Source organism: Homo sapiens, chromosome 1, assembly GCF_000001405.40.
Source record: "Homo sapiens chromosome 1, GRCh38.p14 Primary Assembly".
In the NCBI taxonomy this organism is placed as follows: domain Eukaryota; kingdom Metazoa; phylum Chordata; class Mammalia; order Primates; family Hominidae; genus Homo; species Homo sapiens.
The window spans coordinates 39,025,391-39,037,394 of record NC_000001.11 but is presented as its reverse complement, the minus strand read 5'-3'; the positions used below and the strand labels follow the sequence as shown (position 1 = coordinate 39,037,394).

At 47.3% G+C, this 12,004-nt stretch overlaps 1 protein-coding gene across 2 annotated transcripts, besides 5 other annotated features; it reads right to left on the bottom strand.

Moving 5' to 3' along the window:
- NDUFS5 (NADH:ubiquinone oxidoreductase subunit S5) lies at positions 2,780–11,045 on the bottom strand. 2 transcript variants are annotated; one of them, NM_004552.3, is made up of 3 exons: positions 10,993–11,045; positions 8,455–8,672; positions 2,780–3,003 (listed from the first exon to the last, which is right to left on the bottom strand). In NM_004552.3, exons 2-3 carry the CDS (start codon positions 8,668–8,670, stop codon positions 2,899–2,901), a joined length of 321 nt encoding a protein of 106 aa, NP_004543.1. In that variant the 5' UTR covers positions 8,671–8,672; positions 10,993–11,045; the 3' UTR covers positions 2,780–2,898. The 2 variants fall into 2 exon arrangements, with proteins under 2 accessions (NP_004543.1, NP_001171908.1); NM_001184979.2 differs by having other exon boundaries at positions 10,997–11,045.
- Positions 8,996–9,161: a silencer, noted in NCBI's record as "fragment chr1:39493906-39494071 (GRCh37/hg19 assembly coordinates)". NCBI's record gives its function as "represses an EF-1alpha promoter that drives an FKBP-Casp9 reporter gene in an ReSE screen in phorbol 12-myristate 13-acetate-treated (for megakaryocytic differentiation) K562 erythroleukemia cells {active_cell/tissue: K562(+PMA)}" and the evidence as "EXISTENCE:reporter gene assay evidence [ECO:0000049][PMID:32094911]".
- Positions 9,932–10,517: an enhancer, noted in NCBI's record as "H3K27ac hESC enhancer chr1:39492550-39493135 (GRCh37/hg19 assembly coordinates)". NCBI's record gives its function as "activates a minimal SCP1, AML or CMV promoter by ChIP-STARR-seq in primed H9 embryonic stem cells {active_cell/tissue: H9 hESC(primed)}" and the evidence as "EXISTENCE:reporter gene assay evidence [ECO:0000049][PMID:30033119]".
- Positions 10,518–11,104: an enhancer, noted in NCBI's record as "H3K27ac hESC enhancer chr1:39491963-39492549 (GRCh37/hg19 assembly coordinates)". NCBI's record gives its function as "activates a minimal SCP1, AML or CMV promoter by ChIP-STARR-seq in primed H9 embryonic stem cells {active_cell/tissue: H9 hESC(primed)}" and the evidence as "EXISTENCE:reporter gene assay evidence [ECO:0000049][PMID:30033119]".
- Positions 10,518–11,213: a biological region, named in NCBI's record as "H3K27ac hESC enhancer GRCh37_chr1:39491963-39492549".
- Positions 10,964–11,213: an enhancer, noted in NCBI's record as "active region_799". NCBI's record gives its function as "activates an Ori minimal core promoter by ATAC-STARR-seq in GM12878 lymphoblastoid cells {active_cell/tissue: GM12878}" and the evidence as "EXISTENCE:reporter gene assay evidence [ECO:0000049][PMID:35858748]".

The window sequence follows — 12,004 nt, the reverse complement described above, 5'->3', positions numbered from 1 at the left end:
TGAGATTACAGGCATGAACCACCATGCCCAGGCAGTTTCATACTTTCTATATCTGGGTCTTTTTTTTTTCTTCTTGAGATGGAGTTTCACTCTTGTTGTCCAGGCTGGAGCGCAGCGGCACCATCTCGGGTTGCTGCAACCTCTGCCTCCCAGGTTCAAGTGATTCTACTGTCTCAGCCTCCTGAGTAGCTGGGATTACAGGCACCCGCCACCACACATGGCTAATTTTTGCATTTTTAGTAGAGACATGGTTTCATCATGTTGCCCAGGCTGGCCTACAACTCCTAACCTCAAGTGATCCACCCTCCTCGGCCTCCCAAAGTGCTGGGATTGTAAGCGTTAGCCACTACACCTGGCCTGTTTCTTTTAAAAACATGTTTCTAGCCAGGCACGGTGGCTCATGCCTGATATCCCAGCACTTCGGGAGGCTGAGGTGGGAAGATCATTTCAGGTCACAAGTTCGAGACCAGCCTGGCCAACATCCAGTATGGTGAAACCCTGTCTCTACTAAAAATACAAAACCTAGTTGAGCACGGTGGTGCATGCCTGTAATCCCAGCTACTCAGGAAGTGAGGCAAGAGAATCTCTTTTACCTTGGAGGTGGAGGTTGCAGTGAGCCAAGATGGTGTTAACTGCACTCCAGCCTGGGTGAGACTCCATCTCAAAAACAAAAACCAGAAGCTTCTAAACATGTTAACTATGGCTCAGACCTGTAATCCCAGCACTTTGGGAGGCCGAGGTGGGTGGATTGCTTGAGCACAGCAGTTTGAGACCAGCCTGGACAACATGGCAATACCCCGTCTCTACAAAAAATACAAAAATTAGCCACGCATGGCGGTATATACCTGTGGTCCCAGAAACTTGGGAGGCTGAGCTGGCAGGATCATTGCAGCCCGGGAAGTCGAGGCTGCAGTGAGCCATCATCATGCCACTGCACTTAGGTCTCAGTGACACCCTGTCTCAAAAAATTAATATTAAAGAATAAAATAGGCTGGGCATGGTGGCTCACACCTGTAATCCCAGCACTTTGGGAGGCCGGGGCGGGGAGGGGGCACGGATCACTTGAGGTCAGGAGTTCGAGACCAGCCTGGTCAACATGGTGAAACCCTGTCTGTACTAAAAATATGAAAATTAGCTGGGCGTGGTGGCACCTGACTGTAGTCCCAGCTACTCGGGAGGCAGAGGTGAGAGAATCACTTGAACCTGGGAGATGGAGGTTGCAGTGAGCTGAGATCATGCCATTGCACTCCAGCCTGCACAACAGAGCGAAATTCCATTTCAAAATAAAATAAATTTTAAAAAGAAAAAAAAAAGTTAACTAGTGCTAATATGCCACTGTTATAACGCCTGTAATCCCAGCATGTTGGGAGGCCGAGGTGTTATCATGACATCAGGAGTTCGAGACCAGCCTGACCAACATGGTGAAACCCTGTTTCTACTAAAAATACAAAAATTAGCCAGGTGTGGCAGCACGCGCCTGTAATCCCAGCTACTCAGGAGGCTGAGGCAGAAGAATCGCTTGAACCTGGGAGGTGGAGGTTGCAGTGAGCCGAGATCGTGACACTGCACTCCAGCCTGGGTGACAGAGCAAGGCTCCATCTCAAAAAGTGGCAAATTAAAACAATGTTATTACTTCTTCAAAATTAAATTATCTGAACTTGGCATTTTCTTAGCCTTAGACTTCACAGACCTTACAGTCAACACACAATTCCTATCTCCACTGCCTCCCTCTCCCAGCTCAAGTCTATGTTTTATGAAAAATAAGTTACAGGCAGAAGTGGTGGTGCACACCTGTAGTCCCAGCTACTCGCGAGGCTGAGGAGGAAGGACAGCCTGAGCCCAGGAGGCTGAGGCTCCAGTGAGCAGTGATGGCATCACTGCACTCAGGCTGGGTGAAAGAGTAAGACACAGTCTCAAAAAAAAAAAAAAAAAAAGGCTGGGCGTGGTGGCTTAAGCCTGTAATCCCAGCACTTTGAGAGGCAGAGGCGGGCAGATCACAAGGTCAGTTCGAGACCAGCCTGGCCAATATAGTGAAACCCCGTCTCTACTAAAAATACAAAAATTAGCTGGGCGTGGTGGTGCATACCTATAGTCCCAGCTACTTGGTAGGCTGAGGCAGAAGAATCGCTTGAACCCAGGAGGCGGACTTTACAGTGAGCCAAGATCACGCCACTGCACTCCAGCCTGGGCGACTGAATGAGACTCTATCTTGAAAAAAAAAAAAAAAGAGAGAGAGAAAAATATATAAGAAAAACCAGAATGAAAACACTATCATTTCTTAAATGAGTTAACATATTTAAAGTATCTTGTACACATTGTTAATTAAATGTTAGTTATTATTCCATAGCTGCTAATTTTTTAGGAACTGTCTAAAAGTTTCAACTGTTTTTAAAATCAAATTTAAAAAATAGGTTATAATCTCAGTATAGAAAGGCATGATATGGCTGGGCACAGTGGCTCGTGCCTGTAATCCCAGCACTTTGGGAAGCCGATGTGGGTAGACCACATGAGGTCAGGAGTTCAAGACCAGCCTAGCCAACATGGTGAAACCCCACCTCTACCAAAAATACAAAAATTAGCTGGGTGTGGTGGTGCATGCCTGTAGTCCCAGCTACTTGGGAGGCTGAGGCAGGAGAACCACTTGAATCTGGGAGATGGTGGTTGCAGTGAGCCAAGATCGTGCCAATGCACTCTAGCCTGGCCAACAGAGCAAGACTCTGTCTCAAAAACAAAAAAAGAAAAGAAAAGAAAGTCATGATCCAAGAGAAAATAGAACAAATAGGATGGAGCAATCCTTTATTTTTACACACTTTGACAAGGAGGTTTGTCGTAAACAACCTTTCCAGTGGAGAACAGAGAACAGGAAAATCAGCCTCCAGACATCAGCAGCTGCTCTGTTCAGGGCCGAGGCTCCCCCTTGCCAATGTGGTGAGGTGGAGGGGTGTACTTTCCTTCCTTTATCAGCTTATCCCGCTGCTTCCTGATGGTACCTGCACGTCTCATCTGTCAAAGGAAAATGGTAATTAAACTGAGGGAGGAGATATGTGCCAAAAAGTGAGAACTGGAAAAACAGATCAATTTTGGTTTCATTTTTAAACTACAAAAGGCCTTTCATCTTACGGGGCCTCTGAAATGAAGTCCGCCTTTAAAGAATTAACATGAAATCACTTCCCAAGCTTTCAAACAAATTTTTAGTATACATAACCTCTCTGAAAACTAACAACTAAAATGTTCTTAATATATATAGCAATATGGATATTTGCAAAAACCTTTAAGAGGCATATTTGTGGATACTAAAATCTTTTAAAATATCAAAAGTTTAATCCCAGCACTTTGGGAGGCTGAGGCGGGTGGATCACTGAGGTCAAGAGTTTAAGACCAGACTGGCCAACAAGGTAAAACCTTGTTTCTACTAAAAATACAAAAATTAGCCAGGGATGGTGGTGCACATCTGTAATCCCAGCTACTCGGGAGGCTGAGGCAGGAGAATTGCTTGAACTTGGGAGGCGGAGGTTGCAGTGAGCCAAGATTGAACTGCTGCACTCCAACCTGGGTGACAGAGTGAGACTTTGTCTCAATAAATAAATAAATAAAAGTTGGGCCGTGGTGGCTCACGCCTGTAATCCCAGCACTTTGGGAGGCCGAGGCGGGCGAATCACAAGGTCAGGAGTTCAAGACCAGCCTGGCCAATATGGTGAAACTCTGTCTCTACTAAAAATACAAAAATTAGCCAGGCGTGGTGGCGCGCGCCTGTGGTCCCAGCTACTCAGGAGGCTGAGGCAGGAGAATCGCTTGAACCCGGGAGGCGGAGGTTGCAGTGAGTTGAGATCGCGCTACTGTACTCCAGCCTGGGTGACAAAGTGGCACGATCTCAGCTCACTGCAACCTCCGCCTCCTGGGTTCGCGCCATTCTCCTGCCTCAGCCTCCCGAGTCGCTGGGACTACAGGCGCCCGCCACCACACCCGGCTAATTTTTTGTATTTTTAGTAGAGATGGGGTTTCACCATGTTAGCCAGGATGGTCTCGATCTCCTGACCTCGTGATCCGCCAGCCTCGGCCTCCCAAAGTGCTGGGATTACAGGCGTGAGCCACCGCACCCGGCAAGCACTTACATATTCTATGTGGAAGTGGCACTGCTGCTGGTGACTATGCAATGGGTATGAATGAAGCAGAAATAGCCAATATGAGTTCTCTTTTCCCCATATGGAAGTAAAGGCCTGATTCTTACTCAGCCACTAGTCACCGCTGAGTCTTGAATTCTGTCTCTTCTACTCAGGGCATTGGTTGCTTCTCAACAAATCAAAACTATGTTACACAAGTGTGTCAAAGCCACAACAATGAACTGGTCCCTGGATTCTGTGACACAGAAAATTTACTAAATCTGATCACATTATTCCTCTGCTCAAAACCCTGCAATGGCTATCTTACTGAGACAAAAAGATGAATCCTTATCATGGTTTACAAGGCCTACTCCAGTGACTTCATCTCTTAATATTCCCCTAGCTCCCTCCAGTCAGCTCAGGGACCTTTGCACTTGCTGTTTCCTCTGCATGGAACATTCTTCCCTCATAACCACATAGCTCACTTTCTTTAAGTCTCTGGTCTGTCTTCTTTTGCTGAGATCTTCTCTGACTATTTAAAGTAGCATCCACCTAGCTCCTGCCCCTAGCACTTTCTATCCTTCTGTTTATTCTCCTCACAGCACTTATTATCACCTGTATTTTTACTTGTTATTTTTCTGCTCTTCCTCCCACTATAGCATAAGCTCACTGACTCTGAGATTTTTTTTTTTTGCTGTTTTGCTTACTGTATTCCTAGTGCCTAGACTAGTTTCTGACATAATTTTTTTAACCAATGACTAACTTTTCACAAAGATACGAAAAATTAGTATATTCAGTTAAACGTCTCATTAACCTTAAAGAAGTAGTGTTGATATAACTTCAGTAGAAAAAACCCTGAAATAAACATTAACCATTTTAAAAGACTACATTCTTACCATTTATCTTAGAGTCTCCCAACACAAGACTAGTCATGGTTTTGAACTATGACAATACCATATGTCAAATCTTTCTCTGAGCTAAAAGCAGTAACTCTGGATAAAAGCATAGGTATTGAAGCCAGCCTTGCCAGGATAAAATCCCAGCTCCACCATTTACTAGCTATGTAAGTTCAAGCAATGTCCTTAACTTTTCTTTGCCTTAAATTTTGTTTGTTCATTTGTTTGTTTTTTTGACACAGAGTTTCACTCTTGTTGCTCAGGCTGGATGGAGTGCAGTGGCGCAATCTCAACTCACTACAACCTCCGCCTCTCGGGTTCAAGCGATTCTCCTGCCTCAGCCTCCTGAGTAGCTGGGATTACAGGCACCCCCTTACCACACCCAGCTAATTTTTTGTATTTTTAGTAGAGAGGGGGTTTCACCATGTTGGTCAGGCTGGTCTTGAACTCCTCACCTCAGGTAATCCACCGCCTCAGCCTCCCAAAGTTAAATTTTTAACTGTGTAATGGGGAAACTAATAGTAACTCATCTCATAGGATTGTTGTGAGAAATACATGCATTATAATATGCTAAGAACTTACAATAGGACTTGATTCTAATTCTGACTCACTAGCTTCTTCACTTACAGGGAGGTATCTGTTCACTTAAGGTGACCCTGAAAATGGTAACTTATCTATTCATAAATTCACAGGATTAGGAAGTGACCTTAGAGCAATTCTTTAATTGTTTCAGATAAGGAAATGAAGACTAAGAGAAAGTGACTTGCTCAAAGTCACAAAACTAGTGGTGGTTTGCTGGACGTGGCGGCTCATTTCTGTAATCCCAGCAGTTTGGGGGGCCCAGGCAAGAGGATCGTTTGAGGCCAGGAGTTCAAGATCAGCAAAGGAAACATAGCAAAACCTTGTCTCTATAAACAATTTAAAAAGCCGCACATGGTGGCATGCACTTGTAGTCCTAGCTACTTGGGAGGCTGAGGCAGGAGGATGACTTGTGCCTAGGAGTTTGAGGGTGCAGTAAGCTATGATCACGCCACTGCACTCCAGCCCGGGTGACAGAACAAGACCCTGTCTCAAAAACACGACTAACAGGATGGGTGTGGTGGCTCACACCTGTAATTCCAGCACTTTGGGAGGCCAATGTGGGATCGCTTGAGCCCAGGAGTTTGAGACCAGCCTGGGCAACACAAGAAGACCCCATTTCTATTTTATATAAATAAAATCAAAATTAGGGCCAGGTGCAGTGTCTCACACCTGTAATCCCAGCATTTTGGGAGGCCAAGGCAGGCAGATCACCTGAGCTCAGGAGTTCGAGATCAGCCTGGGCAACATGGTGAAACCTTGTCTCTGCTAAAATACAAAAAATTAGCTGGGCGTGGTGGTGCACTCCTGTAGTCCCAGCTACTTGGGAGGCTGAAGTGGAAGAATCACCTGAACCCAAGTTGAATCTGCAGTGAGCTGTGAACACGCTACCGCACTCCAGCCTGGGCGACGGGAGTGAGACGCTGTCTCAAAACATAAATTAAAATTAATCAACCAACAACAAATGAGTGGTGGCAGAACCAGCATCAGAACCTGACTCTCCTAACTCCCAATCCAATGTTCTTTCCACCTTACTACAATGCCTCCTGTTGGTATCAATTTATCAAAATCTTTTTTTTATTTTCTTTTTTTTTTTTCTTGAGACAGAGTCTCGCTCTGTCGCCCAGGCTGGAGTGCAGTGGCACAATCTCGACTCACTGCAAGCTCTGCCTCCCGGGTTCATGCCATTCTCCTGCCTCAGCCTCCTGCCTCAGCCTCCCGAGTAGCTGGGACTATAGGCGCCAGCCACTACACCCAGCTAATTTTTTTGTATTTTTAGTACAGACGGGGTTTCACCATGTTGGTCAGGCTGGTCTCGAACTCCTGACCTTGTGATCCGCCTGCCTCGGCCTCCCAAAGTGCTGGGATTACAGGAGTGAGCTACTGTGCCGGGCCATCTTTTTTTTTTTTTTCTTGAGACGGAGTCTCGCTCTGTCGCCCAGGCTGGAGTGCAGTGGTGTGTTCTCAGCTCACTGGAACCTCTGCCTCTCAGTTTCAGGCGATTCTCTTGCCTCACCCTCCTGAGTAGCTGAGATTACATGCCCCTGTCACCATGCCTAGGTAATTTTTGTATTTTTAGTAGAGACGGGGTTTCACCATGTTGGCCAGGCTGGTCTTGAACTCCTGACCTCAGGTGATCCGCCCACCTTGGCCTCCCAAAGTGCTGGGATCACAGGCATGAGCCACTGCATGGGATTTTTTTAAATTTGTTTTTTTGGTTTTTTTTTTAGAGGCAGAGTCTCGCTCTGTCGCCCAGGCTGGAGTGCGGTGGCACGATCTCGGCTCCATGCAACCTCCGCCTCCCGGGTTCAAGCAATTCTTCTGCCTCAGCCTCCCGAGCAGCTGGGACTATAGGCACCCACCACCATGCCCTGCTAATTTTTGTATTTTTAGTAGAGACAGGGTTTCACCATCTTGGCCAGGCTGGTCTCAAACTCCTGACCTCGTGATACACCCGCCTCAGCCTCCCAAAGTCCTGGGATTACAGGCGTGAGCCACCGTGCCTGGCCAACTCATTCAACTTTTGAGGAGGTGAACACTAAGCTGTTAACATCCCTTTTCCACTGCATCGTTGTTCACGCTCATGTACAGCAATCTCATTAACACCTCCATCTTCTTCAGAGTGGAATGAATCCAAAGATGTTGAATGTAATGGATTTGCAAGGTTAAACCTCTTTTCCAATGAGGATTCAATGGATTTGAACATATTTTCACCCAAAGATTTTCAAGGGTCAACATCCAAAACTAGTTGATATTCTCTGCTTCACAGCCAACTGAAAAAATGGGTATACACACACATGCAATTTCTAACCTGGTGGCTAAAGCAGGGTAAAATACTAAGGAAAATTTGGGAGAAGAGAAAGAATGCTGAGGAACAATGGACCATCCTCATATCTGAAGGCATTTAATTTCCTCATCATGGTACCAAAGTAGGAAAGGTATTTCACCAGAAAAGCTTTGCCAATTCACATTTGGCAAGCCACTGCTCAATGACCCACTAAAAACACTTAAGAGTAATCCCAGAGGAGGCCAGGCACGGTGGCTCATGCCTGTGATCCCACTACTTTGGGAGGCTGAGGGGGGCGGATCACCTGAGGTCTGGAGTTCAAGACCAGCCTGGCCAGCATGGTGAAATCCCGTTTCTACTAAAAATACAAAAATTAGCCAGGCGTGGTGGCAGGTGCCTATAATCCCAGCTACTCGGGAGGCTGAGGTACGCGAATCGCCTGAACCTGGGAGGCAGAGGCTACAGTGAGACGAGGTGGCGCCATCACACACCAGCCTAGGGGACAAGAGTGAGACTTCGTCTCAAAAAAAAAAAAAAAGAGTCCCAAAGGAACAAGAAAGTAATTCAGCTTCCACCTCCATCATTTCCTTACCGTTTTCTGCCGAAGCAAACACTCTACGAAATCATCATATTCTATCTTGCACTCTTTCTCTGCCCGAGTATAACCGATTCCATGTGCACATTCTATCCATTCTTTTTCAAAAGCATGGCATCGACCAGCCATCTTGTAGGGCTGTTCACCACTCTGGATTGTCAACCATCGATCTATGTTAAGGCCGAACCTTTTCTGGATGTCCAAGAAAGGCATGGCTGTAATGGAAGATTTAAAAAAATAAGTAAATAAAATACCACAAGAGGGCAATCAACTGAGAAATTTCTAAGAAAAAATTAGATAATCATGCTAAGTAGCCCTCTAGAACACTGTTTGATATTATTCTCCTGATTTCTTCTCACCAAACTTTTTCATTAAATAGGTTCTTCCAGTTTATGGCAGATAAGCAGTTTTTGCGCTTTTTCAAAACTCAAGGAAAAGAGAACTATAACTAAAGAACAATGCATAGAAATCCTTTCTCGGTCAGGAGCGGTGGCTCACCTACCACGTGAGATGGAGTCTCCGTCTGTTACCCAGGCTGCAGCGCATGGTGCAATCTTGGCTCACTGCAACCTCCTCCTCCAGGGTTCAAGCGATTCTCCTGCCTCAGCCTCCCAAGTAGCTGGGACTACAGGTGCGCACCACCACGCCCAGCTAATTTTTGTATTTTTAGTAGAGATGGGGTTTCAGCATGTTGGCGAGGCTGGTCTTGAACTCCTGACCTCAGGTGATCCGCCCGCCTTGGCCTCCCAAAGTGCTGGGATTACAGGTGTGAGCCACTGCACCTGGCCTAAATTTTTTTTTTAAATCAGCCACTTGTGGGCCAGGCGCGGTGGCTCATGCCTGTAATCCCAGAACTTTGGGAGGCCAAGGCGGGTGGATTACCTGAGGTCAGGAGTTCAAGACCAGCCTGGCCAATATGGTGAAATCCCGTCTCTACTAAAAATACAAAAAAATTAGCTGGGCGTGTTGGCACATGCCTGTAATCCCAACTATTCGGGAGGCTGAGACAGGAGAACTGCTTGAACTGGGGAGACAGAGGTTGCAATAAGCCAAGATCCGCCATTGTACTCCAGCCTGGGCGACAGAGCGAGACTCTGTCTCAAAAAAAAAAAAAAAAAAAAAAGAAGAAGAAGAAAAAAAGAATTTGGATCCTTTGGTCAGGTTCTCTGTCTCAAAAAAAAAAAAAAAAAAAAAAAAAGGCACTTGTGGTGGTATGTGCGCCTGTAGTCCCAGCTACTCCTAAGGCTGAGGCAGGAGACTGAGGCCAGGAGTTCAAGGCTTCAGTGAGCTATGACCTGGCCACTGCACTCCATCCTGGGCAACAAAGCGAGATCCTGTCTCAAAAAAAAAAAAAAACCAGAGCGAAAGAAATGGGTTAAGACTTACTTTGTAGACTATTACAGACAGTAGGGAAAAAAATTTACATGCAAATACATAATAATGTTAAATGTAAAAACACACACACAAAAACAAACCCTGACTGCCTAAAATGACTGAAAGGAAGCGCGCGCACACCCACAAATATCAATATAAATGTGTACTCATGGTAGATTTAAAGGTGAATTTAGTTGGGCGCAGTGGCTCACGCCTGTAATTCCAGCACCTTGGGAGGCCGAGGCGGGCGGATCACCTGAGGCCGCGAGTTCAAGACCAGCCTGACCAACATGGCGAAACCCTCTCTCTACTAAAAAAATACAAAATTAGCCGGGCGTGGGGGCGCATGCCTGTAATCCCAGCTACTCGGGAGTCTCAGGGAGGAGAATCGCTTGAATCCGGGAGGCAGAGGCTGCAGTGAGCCGAGATCGCGCCACTCTGCACTCCAGCCTGGGCAACAAGAGCGAAACTCCATCTCAACAAAAAGGTGAATTTAACTTCTTAAGTTCCTTCCCATCCCTCAGTCATCATTTACTGAGTAGTTACGTTCCAGGCACTCAGATGCGGGGGAAAGCAGCTCCAACGTAAGCACCAGAGACACACACTCGGAATTGCGAATACACTGCAAGGAACACGAGTGGGTAAGAGCTCGAAGGAGGAAGCACGAACTCTGCCCGGAGACTTGAAAATGCCTTTAACATGGCTTGCGAGTTCGCCAAGTGAAGATCAGTGGGCAGAGTGTTCCAGTTGGGCAACAGCCCGGAGTTACAGCCGGAAGTGCTGGCTATGTTTGGGGGACAATGGAGCGCAGCGTGCATGACGGTGAAAAGAATGAAATGAGCTCAGGAGGCCGGCGGGGCCGAAATCACGCAGAGCCTGGAAAGCTGGGATAAGGATCGTAGACTTTAGGTTAAGAAACAGAAAGCCAAAACATTAGTCCGGCAAAAACCTAAACAAATGTGGAAAGTGGAGAGAGCGGCAATCTCCAGGCTTCGGTGCCATTAGCTGTGGAGGTGAAGCGGCCTGGGAGGGCAGGGAACACGCCCTGAGTTCAGGTCTGGGAGAAGGGGACACACAGCAAGCCAAGAGGAAATCTGTTAAAGAGACCTCGGAAGGAAGGTCCTTAAGCTAAGCTGCCGCGCGGACATAAGCAGCCCCTACCTACCCGATGCTCGTGCCCTTGACTCTTCTCTGGCCGCCGCTTCAGAACGACTAGCTAGCGACGCGGACGCCTGCCGTAAAGGATGACCTCAGCGAGACGTTTGCAGCGCGACGCCGGAAGCCGACCTTCCCTCAGCCGTCTCCCCACAAAACCATAGAAACCGAGCCCGTTGGCCTGGTACGGTGGCTGACGTCTGCAATCCCAGCACCTTGGAAGGCTGAGGGAGGAAGATCACTTCAGCCCAGGAGTTCGAAAACAGCCTGGGCAACATGGCGAAACTCCCCTCTCTACAAAAAATAAAAAATTAGCCGGGCGAGGTGGTGCATGCCTGTGGTTCCAGCTACTCAGGAGGTTGAGGTGGGAGGATCCCTTGAGCCCAGGAGATTGAGGCTGTAGTGAGCCATGATCACACCATTCCATTGCATTCCAGCCCTGGCAACAGAGCAAGACCTTATCTCAGGGGGAGAGTGAGAGAGAGAGGATGAAGAAGAGAGAGAGGAGGTAGAGAGAGAGAAAGGAAAAAAAACCCAAACCCATCAATTACAGAGACACAGGGAAGGCCTAGCCATTAGTGAGTTCTTGCTCCTTTCTTGCACTCTGCCTAGCATGCTCACGACAACACTGAGTGGTGAGAGACTTCACCAAAGTCACAGGAGAGAAAGAACACTGGCTCCCTGCCTACCCACTAGTGGTTAAGCACATGGACTATGAGCCCAAACCACCACGTGGGGTCAAATGTAGGCCCCCAGCCGGGCGCAGTGGCTCAGGCCTGTAATCCCAGCACTATGGGAGGCCGAGGTGGGCGGATCACAAGCTCAGGAGATCGAGACCATCCTGGCCAATATGGTGAAACCCTGTCTCTACTAAAAATACAAAAATTAGCTGGGTGTGGCAGCGAGTGCCTGTAATCCCAGCTAGTGGGGGGAGGCCGAGGCAGGAGAATCGCTTGAATCCGGGAGGCGGAGGTTGCAGTGAGGTGAGATCGCGCCACTGGACTCCAGCCTGGCGACA

Coding starts and splice junctions, on each gene's coding strand:
- NDUFS5 (NM_004552.3), bottom strand. CDS start 8,670: ATGCCTTTCTTGGACATCCAGAAAAGGTTCGGCCTTAACATAGATCGA. Junction 3,004..8,454: donor GTTTGCTTCGGCAGAAAACG/GTAAGGAAATGA, acceptor TTCCTTTGACAG/ATGAGACGTGCAGGTACCAT.